At 45.6% G+C, this 20087-nt stretch overlaps 1 protein-coding gene and 1 long non-coding RNA gene across 10 annotated transcripts in view, besides 7 other annotated features; one reads left to right on the forward strand and one right to left on the reverse strand.

Moving 5' to 3' along the window:
• Positions 3995-4044: an enhancer, noted in NCBI's record as "active region_5278". NCBI's record gives its function as "activates an Ori minimal core promoter by ATAC-STARR-seq in GM12878 lymphoblastoid cells {active_cell/tissue: GM12878}" and the evidence as "EXISTENCE:reporter gene assay evidence [ECO:0000049][PMID:35858748]".
• Positions 6654-7853: an enhancer, noted in NCBI's record as "CDK7 strongly-dependent group 2 enhancer chr11:75524366-75525565 (GRCh37/hg19 assembly coordinates)". NCBI's record gives its function as "activates an origin of replication core promoter dependent on BRD2, BRD4, P300/CBP, MED14 and CDK7 cofactors, with strong dependence on CDK7, by STARR-seq in HCT116 cells {active_cell/tissue: HCT116}" and the evidence as "EXISTENCE:reporter gene assay evidence [ECO:0000049][PMID:35650434]".
• Positions 6847-8130, reverse strand: UVRAG-DT (UVRAG divergent transcript). Its single transcript, NR_144531.1, has 2 exons — positions 7796-8130; positions 6847-7194 (listed from the first exon to the last, which is right to left on the reverse strand). It is a non-coding gene; the product is annotated as a UVRAG divergent transcript (long non-coding RNA).
• Positions 7777-8206: an enhancer, noted in NCBI's record as "active region_5279". NCBI's record gives its function as "activates an Ori minimal core promoter by ATAC-STARR-seq in GM12878 lymphoblastoid cells {active_cell/tissue: GM12878}" and the evidence as "EXISTENCE:reporter gene assay evidence [ECO:0000049][PMID:35858748]".
• Positions 7777-8371: a biological region, named in NCBI's record as "Sharpr-MPRA regulatory region 8".
• Positions 8077-8371: an enhancer, noted in NCBI's record as "tiled region #8; HepG2 Activating DNase unmatched - State 1:Tss, and K562 Activating non-DNase unmatched - State 1:Tss". NCBI's record gives its function as "activates a minimal TATA promoter and a strong SV40 promoter by Sharpr-MPRA in HepG2 and K562 cells {active_cell/tissue: HepG2 | K562}" and the evidence as "EXISTENCE:reporter gene assay evidence [ECO:0000049][PMID:27701403]".
• Positions 8543-20087, forward strand: part of UVRAG (UV radiation resistance associated) — a 329023-nt gene continuing 317478 nt past the window's right edge. For all 9 annotated transcript variants that reach the window (NR_170160.1, NR_170161.1, NM_001386671.1 and 6 more), the window contains exon 1: positions 8543-8857. Coding sequence is in view for 7 of the 9 variants with exons in the window: in NM_001386671.1 (NP_001373600.1) it covers positions 8741-8857 (117 nt within the window). In the remaining 2 variants the exon portion in view is untranslated. The remainder of the gene's footprint in view (positions 8858-20087) is intronic.
• Positions 8667-8866: a silencer, noted in NCBI's record as "silent region_3777". NCBI's record gives its function as "represses an Ori minimal core promoter by ATAC-STARR-seq in GM12878 lymphoblastoid cells {active_cell/tissue: GM12878}" and the evidence as "EXISTENCE:reporter gene assay evidence [ECO:0000049][PMID:35858748]".
• Positions 17749-17828: an enhancer, noted in NCBI's record as "active region_5280". NCBI's record gives its function as "activates an Ori minimal core promoter by ATAC-STARR-seq in GM12878 lymphoblastoid cells {active_cell/tissue: GM12878}" and the evidence as "EXISTENCE:reporter gene assay evidence [ECO:0000049][PMID:35858748]".

Genomic DNA, 20087 nt, shown 5'->3' on the forward strand with positions numbered 1-20087 from the left:
GTTTCCGTGAAATAGATTACAATGAACATTACACGATTTTTAAATATTTTTTTAGAAACAATCTCATAAAAATTTTCAAGTACAATATAAATAATTTTTTTCCTAAATTATTTGAGAGTATGTTGTGGACATAACTCATCACTCTCAACAAACAAGAATGTTATTTTTTTTCTTTTTTTGAGAGAGGGTCTTGTGCTGTCACCCAGGCTACAGTGCAATGGCACGATCATAGCTCACTGCAGCCTCCAGCTCCTGGGCTCAAGTGATCCTCCCAGCTCAGTCTCCCAAGTAGCTGGGATTACAGGCATGTGCCACCACGCCTGGCCAATTGTTTTTTATTTTTCATGGAGACGACGTCTCTCTCTTTTTTTTTTTTTTTTTTGAGACAGAGTCTCGCTCTGCTGCCCAGGCTGGAGTGCAGTGGTGCAATCTCGGCTCACTGCAAGCTCTGCCTCCTGTGTTCACACCATTCTCCTGCCTCAGCCTCCTGAGTAGCTGGGACTACAGGCACCCGCCACCGTGCCCAGCTAATTTTTTGTATTTTTAGTAGAGATGGGGTTTCACCATGGTCTCGATCTCCTGACCTTGTGATCCACCCGCCTCGGCCTCCCAAAGTGCTGGGATTACAGGCGTGAGCCAGCACGCCCGGCCCGACGTCTCTCTCTTTCTAGCGGGTCTTGAACTCCTGAGCTCAAGCAATCCTCCTGCCTTGGCCTCCCAAAGTGCTGAGATTACAGGCGTAAGCTACCATGCATGGCCAAGAATGTTATCCTATATAACTACAATGAAACCATGAAGACCAAGAAATTAACGTAAAAACATTACTACGATCTAATCCTCAGGCCCTATTCAAATTTCACCATTTGTCTTAATAGTGTCCATTCTGGCAAAAGGATCAAGTTCAGAGTCACATGTTATTTCGATCTTCTTTTATCTGAAACAGATACTCAGTCTTTCCTTGACCATCATGACTGACAATCTTGAAGATGATGAGCTGGGTACTCTTAGAATGCCATTCAGTTTTGTTTTGCCTATTGTTTCCTTATGATTGGTTCAGGTTATTTATCTTTGGCAGAAATATCACAGATGTGATGATGGGCTCTTCTCATCACATCCTGTCAGGAAGCAGATAATTTGAATTTGTCATATTACTGATGATGGTCATGTTGATCACTCTTTTTTTTTTTTTTTTTTTTGAGACAGAGTCTCGCTCTATCGCCCAGGCTGGAGTGCAGTGGCGCAATCTCGGCTCACTGCAAACTCCGCCTCCCAGGTTCACACCATTCTCCTGCCTCAGCCACCAGAGTAGAGTAGCTGGGACTACAGGCTCCCGCCACCACGCCTGGCTAATATTTTTGTATTTTTAGTAGAGACGGGGTTTCACCGTGTTAGCCAGAATGGACACGATCTCCTGACCTCGTGATCCGCCCGCCTTGGCCTCCCAAAGTGCTGGGATTACAGGCGTGAGCCACCGCGCCTGGCCTCATTGATCACTTTTAAGATGGTGACTTGCCACACTTTTCCACTGTAAAGTTACTCTTTTTTTGGTAGTTTGAGACTTTACAAATATCTCCTTTCTTACTAAACATTTATTATAAAGACTTATGGAACCTATTTTATTCAATGGGTTATAAGCCATTCTAACATTTATTCTGATGCTCAAACTGCCCCAGTTTTGGACAGTGAGAGCCCCTTCGAACTGGCTTCTGTGTCCCTTTGATGTCATTTGTCCCATCATTTTTCTGAGGACTTCCTTACTTTCTGGCACAACTGGATGCCCCAGAATCATCTTTTGCTTTTTTTCTGGCCTAATCCTGGAATCAGCCACTTCTCCAAAGAGTCTTGATTCCTCCTAGTGGAGGACGGTATCTACAAACCAAGATCTGGCCAGTTTTAATTTACGGATAACAGGGTTCATCCTAGTTCTTTTCCTTCTCATATTTATAACCAACTAGTCCTAAATAGTGTATTCTAATGAATGCAGAAGCTATGATGTGGGTGACAAAGTCCTGCCCTGAGGACCTGGGTTCACACCATCAATTTGCCCTAAGAACCATGTGACGGGTCATTTTAATTTCTGATCCTTTTTTTAGGCATCCGTAAAACTGAGACAATAATACCCACTTGAGCCAGGCTCGGTGGCTTATACCTGTAATCTCAGAACTTTGGGAGGCTGAGGTGGGTGGAGCACCTGAGGTGAGGAGTTTGAGACCAGCCTGGCCAACATGGTAAAACCCCATCTCTACAAAAATTACCTGAGCATGGTGGCTAACACCTGTAGTCCCAGCTTCTTGGGAAGGAGAATTGCTTGAACTTGGGAGGTGGAGGTTGCAGTGAGCCGAGATCGTGCCACTGCACTCCAGCCTGGGTGAAAGAGTGAGACTCTGTCTCAAAAAATAAAATAAAACAAATAAATAATACCTACTTCACAGGATCCTGTGGGGATTGACCAGAGTAATAATGTATGTAAAACACTTAGCAAATGTTAGTTCCCTCTAGGTCCTAGGGAAACCTGCAGACTCATAGAGGGGAATTGATTTGTCTAAAATCATGCAATGAATAAGCTAAAGGTTCAGACTGGTCTCCAGATGCTTACCCCTGGCATGGAGTCTTTCAGCAACACTGCTTTGCATCCAGGGTGTACCTTCTCAGAAACTCTGTGATGCTATGCCTGCCTGGGGAGTGGCTCACCAGTCAAAGAATCAGCCTAACAGGGAAATCAGACGTCCCTTGAGTGCCTTTATTACCAGGAACTCAGCACATTTTTGTCCTAACTGTCCTCAAACTCAATGAAGAAATGTCACAATTTATCATCACCATTTTCACTGCTTTGCCCACCCCCGAATCTACTCAACACAGCAGCCAGAGTGACATTTCTGAAGCATAAATGAGAGCATGTAACTCCCCTGCTTAAACCCCTTAATAGTTGTCCATGAGCCTCAAAGAAATCCAAACTCCACTGTGGCCTACAATGCCTGGCAGGACCTGGCCCTGCCAGCATCTCCAGCCTCATTCTATGCCGTCAGGGCTGGATTAGGACTTCAGAAGCTCTAAGCACCAAAGGATAGTGCTGCTTCTACTATATAAAATTACAAATAAGGGCCAGGTGCAGTGATGCACACCTGTAATCTCAGCATTTGGGAAGGCCAAGGCAGACAGATCACTTGAGCCCAGGAGTTCGAGACCAACCTGGGTAACATAGCAAAAGCCATCTCTACAAACAATACAAAAATTAGCCAGGTGTGGCAATGCGCTGTAGTCTCAGCTATTTGGGAGGATCGACTGAGCCTGGGAGGAGGTTGAGGCTGCAGTGAATCATGATCACACCACTGTACTCAAGACTGGGTGACAGAGCAAGACCCTGTCTCAAAAATAAATAAATAAATAAGTAAATAAAATTACCAGTAAGAACAACACTAAACTGTTAAAGAAACTGAAGGTGGTCTTTGGTTTGGTTTTGGTTTTGAAATACCAATTTCTTTCGAAAGTGTTCTCCTCTTCCTCCTTGGCACCAGCTGGCCTTCTCTTTGAGTTGCTGCAATGCTCCATATAGTCCTTCATGGGCTGTTCCTCCTGTTCCTTTATCCAACAGCTTCCCCTGCCCTCACTAGCCTCCTTTGTCCAGTTAACTCCTACTCATCTTTCAGACCTCACTGCAAACATCAGTTCCCAAGGAAAGTTTTCTCTGGACAACTCTCGGTATATCAGCTCCCTGGGTTAGATGTGCTTATTTCCCATACGTGTTACCCTCACTGGCCTGCACATTCACAAGCTCCTGTGTTCACACTGGCACCTTTACAGTCAGTGGCAGTGGGAAAACCACTGGAACTGAGGAAAGAGCATTGGTCTTGGGGACAAAAGGCCCAACTCTTTGTCTTAGCTTTGCTACAAACTTTGTGTGACCTTAGCAAGCTCATTTCCCCTCTCTGGGGGCTGTGTCTAGTCGGGAGGAATGGAGGCCCCCATGTGATCCAAACATTCACTTACTCAAGTATTTGTCCATTCATTCATTGACTTCATTCATTCAGCCATTTGCTCAATGACGCTATGGAGCCTGTCTTCTGTGTTGGGATGCTGGGGACTCAGAGAAATCAAAAGCAGAGGTTCACAGCAGAGTGGGAGGGACAAATGTAGACTGCTCAATATATGACTAGGCACACAGTTACACATACTGAAGAGAGGTCAGACAGCTGCTGTAGGAGCCCAGAGGAAGTAGCAGTTCGTTCAGACCTGGGAAGCCTTTTTTGAGAAAATGACCTTGCCGAGTTGGGAAAGGAGAAGGGAAAATGCTGTCTAGGCACCTGCCTTTCAGGGTTCTTGGGTATGTGCAGTTTCTTTGGGGAATGGCCTTTTTCTTTTACAATTCTCACCTGCTTTCTGCAAGCGTCTCACTCTTCTAGTCCTGCCCCTTCAAAGCTACCCCTCCCCCAAGGCTGCCTGAGCCATCTTTCTAAGTGCTTTCTGTTGCCCACGATGAAACTCATGTTCTTCGGCCTGGTAGTCAGGTTCTTCTCACCCGGCCCTAGCTTCCTCTTCCAATCTTTTTGCCTGTTGCTCTCCCATGCAGCCTTTGTTTCAGCCATGTTAGACTCTGCTGCTGTCACTTCCTCTACCCCTGTGCCTTTGCTCATGCTGTTCCTCCTGCATAGAATACTCTCCTCTCCTAGGAAGCCTTCCTGGACAACACGTGACAGTTAGCACCTTTCTCTTAGTGCTTCCACTGTACTTTATACATCATCTCGATTATTGTACTTACCACTTTGTACCAAATGAGCTGCGATCTCCTTTCAGTTAGGGATTCTATGTGCATCATTTTCTGAAACGTAGTGCCCAGGCTGGACACCTGGCAAAGGTCTGATGGGTGTTTGACTAGACAGGTAAGTGAATGGAAGAAAGAGGGCTCTGTTGAAAGGAAGGGGATAGATTTAACTCAATACAGTTTGAGACACTGAAAGACCCATCTGCCCTATCTTGCTCTTGTTTACCCAATGCATCAGGCCCATGAGGTGGGAGGAGGAAGTGGAGGCAAATGGATTGGGGTAGGCTTAGCTTTTTGGCCCTGGAAACTGAATGTTTGATTTAAATACCCAACATGGTACTAATTAGCTGTTAAAACACTAGCTATTCCCGAGCCAAACAGATCTAAACACCTATTGTTCATCTACTAAACTCCCAATCATCCTTTATAACTTTGGTGAAGCCTGCTCTGACCTTGCCCACCAGCTCCTGAAGAGTTGGTCACTCTTACCACTTGACCTTGGACCCCTTCTATCATTGCATATACATTGCATTTGGCCACCTTATAATCTATGTTCTCTAAACTTGGATATATGTTTCTCTGGGGGATATATAGCACTATGTAAATATTATAATAATTTAATTCTGTGATTTAAAATATTTTTATGTTGAAACAATCAGCCATATTATGAAATAGGATCCCAATAATAAAAGAGTTTTTAGGGCCGGGCGCGGTGGCTCATGCCTGTAATCCCAGCACTTTGGGAGGCTGAGGTGGGTGGATCATTTGAGGTCAGGAGTTCAAGACCACCCTGACCAACATGGTGAAATCCTGTCTCTACTAAAAATACAAAAAAACTTAGCTGGGTGTGGTGGTGCATGCCTGTAGTCCCAGCTACTTGGGAGGCTGAGGCAGGAGAATCACTTGAACCTGGGAGGCAGAGGTAGCAGTGAGCTGAGATCGCACCACTGCACTCCAGCCTGAGTCACAGAGAGAGACTCTGTCTCAAAAACAAGAAAGAAAAGTTTTTAGAATGAAATAGGACATATGAAAATAATGACAGCTAGTATTTATTAAAAATGTACTATCTCCCAGACAGTGTGTTAAATGCTTTACATCATCTTGAATACTTTGCAAGCAGCAGGCTTTTGAGTTCTTCCCAATGCCCCTAGGGATGAGAGTCCTAGTTCTCCTAATGTTTTCGGCATTTGGGAAAAGTGGGAGAAGGGTTGTTTACTTGAGCTCTGCATTTCCAGAACCCAGTAGCTAGCCTGTGCAAAGGTGAACCTCAGTAAAGGCTTGTGGAAAGAATAGATCCTGCTCTCTGCTGGAATGTCCTTTCCTCCCTCTCTCCTGACTTGGTGAACTCTTATTGGCCCTTCAATACCCTGTTTCAATGTCACCTCCACTGTGAAATCTGACTCTCAACTATTTTCTCTGGCTCCCACTGCCTTTGGGCTTCCCTCAGACCCAGCAGTGAGTAACTGGATGATCACTCTTCGTTTGTTTTTGATATGGGGTCTCAGTCTGTTGCCCAAGCTGGAGTACAGTGGCATGATCTTGACTCACTGCAGCCTCAACCTCCCCAGGCTCAGGTAATCCTCCCACCTCAGCCTCCTCAGTAGCTGGGACTATAGGTGAAAACGACATGCTGGGCTAATTTTTGTATTTTTGTAGAGACAAGGTTTTGCCATGTTGCCCAGGCTGGTCCCAAATTCTTGGGCTCAAGCAAGAATTGTGATAATGTGTTATGGCAGCCTCAGAAAACTAATACAGCTTAGAAACAGAAATGTGTTTTCTGTGAAATTCCCCCAGATCTTGGCACCACATGAGTTCAATCAGATAATATTTGGGATTTCCCAGTGACTCCTTTCTCAACAAACACCTGATCAAGCGACTCCTTTCTCAACAAACACCTGACCACACGCCCCAGGCTCCAGCCATGAGGAACCACTCAGTGTGTCAGAACAGGAGACAGTGTGACATCTTTGTGATCCAGCTCTGAGAAAAGATCCAAGGTGTTTTTCAGGCTTCTGAACACCCTGGAAAGATAGTATGCTTACATTTTGTTTAAAAAATTTAAAATGCAACTACTATATGCCAGGTCCTGTGTGGGCACTTTACATATGTTGATTTACTTTAATCCCTACAGCAATCCTATTACTATTTTAAAGCTGAGAGAGGGGAAGTGACTTGCCTTGGGATACATAGCTCAAAGGTGGTAGAGCCAAGATTCCAAAGTGCCTGATTCCTATTGTGTCTGACTCTAAAACACTATGTTCTTTCTGCTATGTTCATCCAGGTGGTGGAAAAATTCAGTCTAGGAGTAAAAAAAGGAAGATCAACATCCTGCAGAATGACTCATGCTATTCATTATAGAAGCAATTGCTGGAGATGCTATCATTGTGGATCACGGAAGTCTTCATGGAAGAGGTGGCATTTGAGCTGGGCCTTCACTGCAAAAAAAAAAAAAAAAAATTTCCTGATTCTCTGTCAGGCACTGGGGATCCAGAGATGAATCAGACAAAGTCCTTTTGCTTGAAGAATTCACAGTATTTTGTGTGTGTGTGGGAAGGAGGGTGGCTGCTTACATGTGTTAAAAGACAATGTGGCCAGGCCTGGTGGCTCATGCCTGTAATCCCAACACTTTGGGAGCCCGAGACTGGAGGATCGCTTGAGCCTGGGAGTTTGAGACTAGTCTGGGAAATATGGCCAGAACCCCATCTTTACAAAAAAATTTTAAAATTAGCTGGGCCTGGTGGCATGTGCCTGTATTCCCAGCTACTTAGGAGGGTGAGGTGGGAGGATCACTTGAGCCCAGGAGGTCGAGGCTGCAATGAGCCGTGATTTTGCCACTGCACTCCAGCCCGGGCGAAAGAATGAGGCACTGTTAAAAAAAATTAATAGAATAATCCAGACCCACGGTAGGGTCAAAATTCCTAACTCAAGGTCCCAGAGAGGCTCAGAGAAGCCTTTTGGAAGAAGGGACTCCTGCCCCAGCTAAGACTGATGGATAAGTAGCAAAGGCTTTCTGGGGACACAGCACAAACAGCCCACCTGAAGCGGTGAATCGGCGTCCTGGGTGCCTGGCACACCTTGTAGCTCAGCTTACTAGCTAGTGGAGTGCGAAGGGGCGTGTACTTGTCGGTTGGAGCTGGTCATGAAAGAGCTCGTGGGACTGCCCGACGGTTCTCAGGTCCCAGTGCATCCTGCGTGGTGGCTCTCTGCTGAACCATAAAGCATTCCTTTTCAATCCCTGCACGCTCACGCCGGGAAAAGACTGCACAAGGGGCCTGCCAAGGCAGACAAGCGATCGCCACCCAGCTGGCTTCCGAGGGTCCCCGCCCTCCACCGGAGGCCTGTTACCACGGCAACCAGTGAGGGCGGAAGTGGCTCAGAAGACCGGTTCTCCCTAATCAGGTGACTCTCCCGCCTCCTGCACGTGACACCGGAGCCCAGAAGCGCGCTCTACCTAATCAAGACCCCACCCCTCTTTCCCTTTACTGACAATTGACAGCGACCTCTTGCAATGGCCCTTCCGCCTCCACCAGGAGACTCTGCCCGTTGGTAGTAAAAGAACCAATTAGACTGGGAAAAAAAGAAGCAACGCCCCAGGTTTCACCCCGGCTTGACAGACGCAATTGAGGCCATCCTTGAGTCCCTCCGCCCCCAAGTCCAGTAATGCCAGCGATGGACAGACCTTCTACCCAATAGCACGCCCCTTTTCTGCCGTTGGGTCCCGCCCCCTTGAGGGCTAAGCCAATGAGCGCTCCGGGTCTCAGCGGGGTGGAGGGGTTGCACTGCGGTAATATGGCTCTTCCTTAGCCAGCGGCGGCAACGGCGGCAGCGGCGGCAGCGGCGGCGGCTACTGTCTGGGCTGAGCAGTAGTGCCTCTCGGGTGGCGGGTTTCTAGGCTGCAGGGGCTTGGTAGGTGGTGGCAAGGGGGCGGCGGCGGATGCCGGAAGAGTGCCCGCCCCGCCGCTTGGCGGCCCCTGGATCGAGATGAGCGCCTCCGCGTCGGTCGGGGGCCCCGTCCCCCAGCCACCCCCGGGCCCGGCCGCTGCTCTGCCTCCCGGTTCTGCCGCGCGGGCCCTGCATGTGGAGCTGCCGTCTCAGCAGGTAAGCCCGCGCGGCTCGCAGCACTCGGGAGGGACCCGGGCAGGCCCGCGTGGAGAGCTTGCTGGCTCCGGGCTGACCCCGCGAGCCGGGACACCCAGAGCAGGGACCCGGAGGGCTCGCGGGACTGAGGAAGACTGTCAGGAGGTTTGTGCGGGGAGGGGTCCAGTGATGGCCGAACCTCCGGGAGATCCCGGAGTCCTAGGAGAATCCCGTTACAGGAGATGGGCTTGTTAAGGGACAAGCAGCCAGCCAGCTCAAGTCCCTGGGGCCCCGGCCCGAGGCCGCCTCCCCCAACGCAGGGAGCCGGGGATTGCCCCGCGCAGACCCTCTCCCTCGTTCCGCCCAGGAAGGGACCCGGGGAACCCCCTGTGTCCCACGGGCCATAGTGAAAGCACTTTTCCTTTCTTTCCCCACCTGGCCATCCCCGCTTACGGAGAAACCAGTTTGTACTCTTCGTGCAAGAGCCCTGGAGGAGACTTTAGGGTGTCTACCATTTGCTTTAATCTCCCCTGATTATTAAGTATTCGGCCTCTTTAGAGAAATGTATTCAAGACTTGGGGGTTTCCTTCCTAATTCTCCGAGTCCCAAGGAACGCATCTTAATAATTAGGAGGACTTTTTCCTTCTTCATTCCCTTCAGTGAGTCTCTGTGGAAGGAGGATTTGATGTATATATTCATGTGTTCCTCCATCCTTTAGGAAGGGCTTTGAGGACTTCTTGGCTCTGCGTTGTAGGAAGATAAGAAGGGGGAAACACTGACTTTGGAGATGTGACAAAACTCTTTGTTTCACTCACATATCTGTAGAGTACTTCCCTCCTTATATCGGTTGCCTTCCTTCTGTCCCCCAAGGGGAGATTTTGCAGGAATCTTAGCATTAAAGAGACCTAAAGAATACCTTTCACCCTCTCCCTTTATTCCTCCTGCCAAGAAGAGGATCTAGAGAAACTGTCATTTACTGAGAACTTACCGTGTTGGATTTGTGCAAAGGGCTCAGTGGCCATTAGTTCACTGAATTTTCACAACTCTGTGAGATAGCTGTTTTTATTACCCCCATTTGGCAGTTGAGGAAACTGAGGCTTGTCCAGAGCCTTCCAGTTAGTAAGTGGTGGGGCTGGGTTGCAGAATCCAGTGTCTGACTCTGCAGCCATGCACGTGCTTGAGACTTGGGCAGCCTTCCTCCACCACCTTTACACAGGACAGAGTGAGTTCTTTCATACACCCCTCCAACTTTCCATCAGCTACCAGTGGGACTTAGGAAGGATTCAGAAAGAGGAAGGGAGAGGTTGTAGGGGAGAGAGTGGTTGAAAAGTGAAATGGATTTGAGTGCAGTAAAGGAGGCGGGGGCTAAAGGGAAGAGAAGAGTTGGAGATAATAACCACTGTGGTTGCCTTTGAATAGGCAGGCAGAAGAGCTTACAGTAGCAACGGCTTTTTGTGTGACTACTACCGAAGAGGATTGAAAAGATACCATGTGCCCTGGTTTTGTGATGCTGTTGGCAGGGAATTTCTGAATAGTGGGAGTTTGAGGGTAGTGGGGGTTTGGATTGTGTTGTGAGATACAGGGAGAGGGTAGAAGTCTGGCTAGGGAGGGAGACACGTCTCTGGAGTGAGCATTAATGTGAGTTTTTGTATGTGTGGGAGGTAGAGTGTGAGAGTGGTTACTGGGAGAGGGAATAGGGAGCACCGTTAGAAACACCCTGGAGAAGTCCTAAGGAGTTCAGGGGCCAAGAAGGTTTTAGTTTGGGGGAGCTTCGAGAGTGTGTGGGATTAGGAAAGAGAAAGCATCATTTACTTCATGGAGCCTATTCTCTGATAACAGTTCACAGTTTAACACTGGGAAAACTAATGCAAACAAACTGTTGATGGAATAATTTCAGCCTCATTTGTTAGTGTTTGTGAAATTTTTGGATTGGTGCCGAGGGATATATAGTGGCTTAAGTGTACAGCTGAATGCTATATGAGTGCCGAGTATGCTATTTACATCTTTCTGGGGGTGTCAACCTTGAATTCTTGGAAGGCAGCCTATATAACAAAGCACTTTTACTTTTGCAGTTGACATCAATTTATCTTTTGGGGTCAAAATGCTCAGATTTTTAGTGTATAAATAATATCAATAAAATTTTGTTGAAGTTTTATCTGTATATAGTAAAGTACACAGATTATCAGTATTCAGTGGATGAATTGTCACCAAGGGAACAGTTATGTAAGTACTACCCAGATTAAGAGATACAAAATTTTGGCTGGGCGCAGTGGCTCACACCTGTAATCCTAGCACTTTTGGAGGCTGAGGTGGGGGGATCACTTGAGGCCAGAAGTTCAAGACCAGCCTGGCCAACATGCTGAAACCCTGTCTCTACTAAAAGTACAAAAAAAAGAAAAAAAAAAAAAAAGCCAGATGTGGTGGCGCACATTTGTAATCCCAGCTACTTGGGAGGCTGAGGCAAGAGAATTGCTTGAACCTGGGAGGCGCAGGTTGCAGTAAGCCGAGATTGCGCCACTGCACTCCAGCCTGGGTGACAGAGTGAGACTCTATCTAAAAACAAACAAACAAACAAACAAACAAAAAACCCCCCAAAAACCCCAAAATTATTAACATCCTGGAAGTCCTCCTATGTTCTCTTCCATCTCTGTTTTTCCTTTTTCTCTAAAGGAACCACTTTTCTGATTTCTAATGTAAAAGATCAGTTTTTGCCTGTTCTTGAGCTTTATATAAATGGAGTTGTGCAAAATGTATTTTTTTGTGTCTGGTTTCTTTTACTCAGTATTGTTTGTGAGAGTCATGGAGTATCTGTGTATGTCTAATGTTTTTTTTTTAAGTATTACTTTGTTGCCTTTTTTTGCTTTTACAAAATTTCAAATATTTAGATAAATTGGAATGTCAGTTGTTAACTTTCCTTTAAATAATACTTTCAAAACCATACATTTTAATACATCCCGTACTAGTTGGCAAGGTATCAATTTTTTTTTTTTTTTGAGATGGAGTCTAGCTCTGTTGCCCAGGCTGGAGTGCAGTGGCGCGATCTTGGCTTATTGCAACCTCTGCCTCCTGGGTTCAAGCGATTCTCCTGCCTCACCCTCCCAAATAGCTGGGATTACAAGCACCTGCCACCACGCCCAGCTAATTTTTGTATTTTTAGTAGAGACGGGGTTTCATTGTGTTGGCCAGGCTGGTCTGGAACCCCTGTCCTTGTGATCCTCCCACCTCGGCCTCCCAAAGTGCTAGAATTACAAGTGTGAGCCATTGCGCCCGGCTGGTATCAATATTTCTAAACAAATAAACAAGCCCGGTTGGTTTAGGATTTTTATGATCAAGTTATCTCAAAACATAGATTCAGTGGCTCCCAACCTTCTTCTAAGATGGGGTTTGTCAACCTTGGGACTGTTGACATTTTGGAGTGAAGATGGGCTGTTACATGTTTAGCCACATCCCAAGATATCAGCAGCACCTCCCCAGTCCTGACAATCAAAAATGAGTTCAGACATGGCCAAATGTTTCTTAGGGGGCAAAATTACCCCTAGTTGAGAACCACCTTACTAAGGTGTATTTTCATTTTAGGATAGAGAGTATCCTTGTTATTATTGACTCATTTATTTCAATCTTCATTAAGTCCTGTTGATTCTAGAAGTGGCTGTAATGTTTAAAAAGTTAACACTGCAAACACCTGAACTTTTCCATGTATGAGTACTAACTATAGTCCATATCAGCCCCTTGACTGTGTCAGATGGGACTACTACTTAATTTTGTCTCCTTTTGCTTCTATGTGATCTTACTTTACTGTAATTTGAGCAAGAACTAGTGACACATTTTTTTTACACTTTTTTTTTGTTTTGTTTTTGATTTTTGAGACAGTTTTACTCTGGTCACCCAGGCTGGAATGCAGTGGTGCAATCTCCTCTCACTGCAACCTGCCCCTCCCGGGTTCAAGCAATCCTCCCACCTCAGCCTTCCGCATAGCTGGGATCACAGGCTGTGCCACCATGCCCAGCTAATTTTTGTATTTTTGGTAGAGATGGGGTTTCACCATGTTGGCAGGCTGGTCTTGAACTCCTGGCCTCAGGTGATCCGCCTGCCTTGGCCTCCCAAAGTGCTGGGACTACAGGTGTGAACCACCGTGCCCGGCCCAAAAACAAACTATTTTTTAGAAAGTTTTATTTCTATTTTTGGCCGAGCACGGTGGCTCATGCCTCTAATACCAGCACTTTGGGAGGCCGAGGCAGGCTGATCACTTGAGGTCAGGAGTTTGAGATCAGCCTGGCCAACATGGTGAAACCCTGTCTCTACTAAAAATAGAAAAATTAGCCAGGTGTGGTGGCAGGTGCCTGTAATCCCAGCTATTTGGAGGCTGAGGCAGGAGAATTGCTTGAACCTGGGAGGCAGAGGTTGCAGTGAGCTGAGATGGCGCCATTGTACTCCAACCTGGGCGACAAGAGCGAAACTGTCTAAAAAAAATTATTTCGTTCTTTTATTTTTATTTTTTTTAGAGACAAGATCTTGCTCTGTTGCCCAGCCTGGAGTGCAGTTGGCTCACTGAGGCCTCAACCTCCTGGGATCAAGTGATTATCTTGCCTCAGCCTCCCTAGTATCTAGGACTACAGGCATGTGCCACCATACCAGTTAATTTTTTTAAGTTTTTCATAGAGATGGGGTCTTGCTGTGTTGCCCAGGCTAGTCTCAAACTCCTGGCCTCAAGATATCCTCCCGCCTTGACCTCCCAAAGTGTTGGGATTATAGGCATAAGCCACTACGCCCAGCCAGAAAATTTTATACTTATAGAAAAATTGAGAAGATAGTACAGAAAGTTCCCATATACTCTATACCTAGTTTCACTTATTCTTTTTTTTTTTTTTTGAGACGGAGTCTCACTCTGTCACCCAAGCTGGAGTGGAGTGGTGCGATCTCCGCTCACCGCAACCTCCGCCTTTCAGGTTCAAGCGATTCTCCTGCCTCAGCCTCCTGAGTAGCTGGGATTACAGGCATGCACCACTGTTCCTGGCTAATTTTTGTATTTTTGGTAGAGATGAGGTTTTGCCATGTTGGCCAGGCTGGTCTTGAACTCCTGAGCTCAGGTGATCCACCTGCCTTGGCCTCCCAAAGTGCTGGGATTACAGGCATGAGCCACCGCACCCGGCCTCACTTATTCTTAACATCTGCCTTGACATATGGTACATTTGTTAGAATTAATGAATCAATATTTATATATTATTGACTAAAAAAGTCCATAGTTCATTTAGATTTTCTTAGTTCTGAACAACTGTGGCCAGGCCTGGTGAGTCATGCCTGTAACCCCAGCACTTTGGGAGGGTGAGGCAGGAGGATTGCTTGAGGCAGGAGGATTGATGTCAAGGCTGCAGTGAGCCCTGATTGCACCACTGCACTCCAGCCTGGAAGACTGTGATTAAATGTGATTAACTATATGTACAACATAAAATTTGCTGTTTAAATAATTTTTAAGTATACAATATAGTGGCATTAAAAACATACTTAATGTTATACAACCATCATCACTGTATATTTCCAGAATGTTTACATCATCCCAAACAGAAAACAACTCCCCATTCTCGCCTCCTACCAGCCCCTGGTAAATTCTGTTCTACTTTCTGTCTCTATGAACTTCACTATTCTGGGTACCTCATATAAGTGGCATTATACAGTATTTGTCCTTTTATGTTTGGCTTATTTCACTTTGCAATGTTTTCAAGGTTCATCCATGTTGCAGGGTATGTTAGAATTTCATTCCTTTTTTAAGGCAGATGGTATTCCGTTGTATGTATATACTACATTTTGTTTATTCATTCATCTCTTGATGGGTCCTTTGTTTGTTTGCTAATTTGTTTTGAGACGGGGTCTCACTCTGTTGCCCAGGCTAAAGTGCAGTGGCATGATCATGGCTCACTGCAGCCTTGACTTCCTGGGGTCAAGTGATCCTCCCACCTCAGCACCCCCGCAAGTAGCTGAGACTACAATGGCATGTGCCTCCACGCCCAGCTAATTTGAAAATTTTTCGTAGAAATGAGTCTCACTCTGGTCTCAAACTCTTGGGCTCAAGAGATCCTCCTGCCTTGGCCAACCAAAGCAGTGTTGAGATTACAGCATGAGCCACCACACCCAGCCAACCCTTAGTTTTTACCTGATGTCCTTCTTCCGTGCCAGGATCCTGTCTGGATACCACATTGTATTTAGTTGTCCTGTCTCTTGCCTCCTCTTAGCTGTGGCAGTTCCTCAGACTTTCCTTGTTTTTGATGGCCTTGACAGTTTTGAGTATTGGTCAGGTGTTTTGTAGGATGCCACTCTTCTGGAATTAGTCTGATGTTTTTTCTTATGATTAGACTAGGGTGGTGGTGTTTTGGGAGCAAGACTTAAGAGGTAAAGTGCCATTTTCATATATTACGTACATATTATTAACATGATTTATCACTGTTTTTTTTTTTTTTTTTTTTGAGACAGAGTTTCGCTCTTGTTGCCCAGGCTGGAGTGCAATGGCACAATGTCAGCTCACTGCAACCTCTACCTCTCAGGTTCAAGCAATTCTTCTGCCTCAACCTCCTGAGTAGCTGGGATTACAGGCACCCGCCACCATGCCCAGCTAATTCTTCTATTTTCAGTAGGACGGGGTTTCACCATGTTGGCCAGGCTGGTCTTGAACTCCTGACCTCAGGTGATCCACCCACCTTGGCCTCCCAAAGTGCTGGTATTACAGGCATGAGCCACCATGCCTGGCTGATTTATCACTGTTGATTCTAACTTTTATCATCACCAGCTGTGGTAGCATATGATAGGAAAGGCAAACTAGCTGTTTTCTCCTATTACACTGTTATACTATCAGCATAACCCTTCTGACATTAGATGTGTGGGGCTTTTTCCCCACACACCAAGCGATCCTCCAGTGAACACCAATATGGTGTCCTATGATTCAATTCAATTCTGCCACAATCTCCTTAGAGTTAGTATCATATTCCACAAGTTAAAGGCTCAGACCCATAAAACTGTCCCCTACTTCACATGCCAGACGTAAGTCTGGGTCTCTGGAACTTCTTACCGACTGGCTATAAATTGGGGGTTCCTATGTTCCCCTCCTCAGGCTCAGTCATTTACTAGAGCAGCTCACGGAACTCAAGAAAGCACCTTGCTTGCACTTACTGTTTTTTTTTTTTTTTTAAATAAACAATATTACACAGGATACAGACGAGCAGCCAGATGGAAGATATCATAGGGAACAGTATGGGGGAAGTGGCCCAGAGCTTTCATGCCCTCTCATGGCAGCTCCACCCTCCACATGTTCAGCAACCCAGAAACTCTCCAAAACCTGTAGTTCTGTGATTTGTATGGAGGCTTCATCATGTAGGCATGATCAATTATTAAGTCAGTCTTCAGCCCCTCTCCCCTTCCTGGAGGATGGGGAGTGGGGCTGAAAGTTCCAAGCTTCTGATCATGGCCTGGTCTTTCTGGTGACCATTCTCCTTCTAGGAGCTCACCAAGAGTTGTCTCATTAGAACAAAGGATGTTCCTCACCTAGGAAACGCTGAGGGACTAGGCGTTGTGTCTGGAACTGGGGTCAAAGACCAAATATGAAAAGTAAAGATTCTCCTAGTACCCCTATGGCACCCAGGGAATGACAGAGGTTTTAAGAGCTCTGCACCAGGAACTGTGTACAAAGACCAAAGTATATATTTATTATTGTAAATTGAAGGGCCACAGGTAGTGTTTGTCAGGTTTCTCTGCTATAAGGTTACTCTTCCTCCCCTTCCCTCTATACTGTAGTCTTTGGAAGGAAGTCACTATGTGTAGTCCACACTTGAGTGAGATCTGTGCTCCCCCTTCTTGAGGGTAGAGTATCTACATAAATTATTTGGAATTTTTCTGTATGGGAGATTAAATCATGGCTCATTTCAGCCTCTAACTCCTGGACTCAAATTATGTGCCTCAGCCTCCCAAGTAGCTGGGACCACAGGTGCACACCACCATGCCTGGTTCATTTTTTAATTTTAATTTTTGTAGAGACAGAGTCTTGCTATATTGCCCAGGCTGGTCTCTACCTCCTGGCTTCGAGCAATCCTCCCGCCTTGGCCTCCCAAAGCATTGGTATTACAGGCATGAGCGACTGCACTGGGCCGGTAACTTAAAGTCACACAGAGTGTCAACAAAGGGACTACAATCTAGGTGTTTCCTGTTTGCCCTAGACACCCATTCTTTGCAGGGTTCTGGTGAAAAGTTTTAAGTACCTCAGAGTTTGGGACCATCAGGCTTTATATTTTATTTCCTACAGCACTTGTGCCTAACACTGTGCTGATGATTTAGTAGGAACTCATGTACAGTTTTTTTGTTTATGAGTCTTTCCCTTGAAGAACTTTACAGCCTAAAGAGAACAAGGAAAGATTGGATTCAGTGGTATTGAAACCCATGCAAAAAAACATGATAGAAGCAGAAAAGTAGATCTAAAGCTTGATTTTGCTGTATAGGATAAATATTTTCCCTTTCTGTGTTTATGTTTATTTGGATACCCTACTTTTGCTAATCTAATTTAATCATTTTTCTATTACTAAAAAAAAAATCAGCTTTATTGGCAAGGCCGTTCATCTTATCAGGAACATGTGCCTCACGCAATGCACTACCATGCCGTGTACATTCATTCCTTCTGCAAATATTTACTAAGCCCCTTGTAACTCGAAGAAAAAATGTAATATATAGTTGAGTATCTAAAAAGTAAAATGATGGCAATTTTTTGTGCTGGTTTGGCTCTTATAAATAAAATGATATGAGGAAGCCTCAGAAACTTAAGATATCAGCATCTTGAAATCATTATTTTTATGTGACAAAATGCTATTAGGAATTTATGTTTTTTGTTTGTTTCTCTTTTTCCTGTGAAAATGAGTTTTTTTTTTTTTGAAAGGAAAAGCTATGTTTATTTAGTGTTTACTTTAAAATGTCTCTACAGGATCACAATTCTTTGTGGTAGAAAATTCAGAAGTGAAACTGACTAGAAATAGAGCACAAGCAGAATTGAAACTAATAAGTTGGGCCTGAAGTGAAACGTATGGTAGAATGAAAAAAAATTAGATTTTCATAGTTTCCAAATGTGTATTTTTGATAAGCTGTGTATTTTTACCTGTCAGACATGTTACTGCTGGGGAGAAAAAGAAGTTTGTCATTTTTTTTTTTTTTTTTTTTTTGAGGCGGAGTCTCACTCTGTCGCCCAGGCTGGAGTGCAGTGGCACGATCTCGGCTCACTGCAAGCTCCGCCTCCCGGGTTCACGCCATTCTCCTGCCTCAGCCTCCCTAGTAGCTGGGACTACAGGCGCCTGCCACCACGCCCGGCTAATTTTTTGTATTTTTAGTAGAGATGGGGTTTCACCGTGTTAGCCAGGATGGTCTCGATCTCCTGACTTCATGATACGCCTGCCTCGGCCTCCCAATGTGCTGGGATTACAGGCGTGAGCCAGCGCGCCCGGCCAAGTTTGTCATTTTCAACGTACTGGAATGTGTACAGCTACAAACTGAAGGTGTTTTAGAAAAAGACATCTGTCTTATGAGAGAGGTTGAAACATTTTAGGTTTATGCTTTGTTTTAGGTTTAATGACATAAGTAATGTCTTTTTTTTTTTTTTGAGACAGCGTTACCCTGTTGTCGCCCAGAATGGAGTGCAATGGCACGATCTCAGCTCACTGCAACCTCTGCCTCCCAGGTTCAAGTAATTCTCCTGCCTCAGCCTCCCGAGTAGCCTCCCGAGTAGCTGGGGTGCCCACCACCCCACCTGGCTAATTTTTGTATTTTTAGTAGAGACGGGTTTCACCACATTGGCCAGACTGATCTCGAACTCCTGACCTCAGGTGATCCACCTGCCTCGACCTCCCAAAGTGCTGGGATTGCAGGCATGAGCCACTGTGCCTGGCCAGTAAAGTCTTATATTGTTAAATTTTTTCAATGCCTTGTACAGTATTTTAGCAGTTGCCTCCTTAGATTATAAAAGTAGACGAGTACACACAGAATGGAAACTTGACATTGGAATTTTACAATTCATAGTATACCTTCTTGATTTAGTATCACATAACCTTGTTTTCCATCTTATTTTAAGATGGAAACATGAATTTTGAATCATGGAATTTTGCAGATGCAAAACCTGAAGCCCTCTGAGGTGAAGCTATTTGCCTGGCCACAGACTTGTTCTAGCTATTTATTCTTGCCCTGGAGTATTTAGTAAAGAGTATTAGTTTAACAGATCTGTCTTGTGTCTTGTTCCTGCTTGTGGCAGAGAAATAAACAGAACCTGGGTCTTGTGAACAGTTCCACTGTTCTTGGCTGGGTGTGTTGAGAAGTTGTTTCTTTTTTTTTTTTGAGATGGAGTTTTGCTCTTGTCACCCAGGCTGGAGTACAGTGGTGTGATCTCGGCTCACTGCAACCTCCACCTCCTGGGTTCAAGCGATTCTCCTGTCTCAGCCTCCTTAGTAGTTGGGATTACAGGCGCCTGCCAGCACGCTCGGCTAATTTTTGTAATTTTAGTAGAGATGGGGTTTCATCACGTTGGCCAGGCTGGTCTCGAACTCCTGACCTTAGGTGATCCACCCACCTTGGCCTCCCAAAGTGCTGGGATTACAGGCGTGAGCCACTGTGCCTGGCCAAGAACTTGTTTCGTTTTCTTTCCTTTTTTTTTCTTTTAAGACGGAGTCTTGCTCTGTCGCTAGGCTGGAGTGCAGTGGCACGATCTTGGCTCACTGCAACCTCTGTCTCCTGGGTTCAAGTGATTCTCCTGCCTCAGCCTCCAGAGTAGCTGATATTACAGGTGCCCACCACCACACCCACCTAATTTTTTGTATCTTTAGTAGAGACGGGGTTTTACCATGTTGGCCAGGCTGGTCTCAAACTCCTGACCTCGTGATCCACCCGCCTCTGCCTCCTAAAGTGCTGGGATTACAGGCGTGAGCCTGGCCGAGAACTTGTTTCTTAAACTTCACTCGGTCCTTTGGCAACATTAGCCTCACAGCTTTGGGGATTTTAGGCTAGAACTGAAATGGAGGAGAGGCTGTATTTTAACGTTCTCTTTAAGGGCAGAGCACTCAGAGTCCACCCTCCCACGTCCCTTTTATGGTGTGAATTAGAGTGAAACTTTGGAATGTCCCTCTGGAGCTTAAATGATCAGTCTTCCTGTTTTGTCCCTGGGTACTTACCATGCCTATCTTTTTTTTTTTTTTTTTTTAAATGTTCTACTTAAGAACTTCTGTTCTCTGCCTCTTTAAGT

The sequence above is a fragment of the Homo sapiens genome, chromosome 11 (assembly GCF_000001405.40).
Source record: "Homo sapiens chromosome 11, GRCh38.p14 Primary Assembly".
Taxonomy (NCBI): domain Eukaryota; kingdom Metazoa; phylum Chordata; class Mammalia; order Primates; family Hominidae; genus Homo; species Homo sapiens.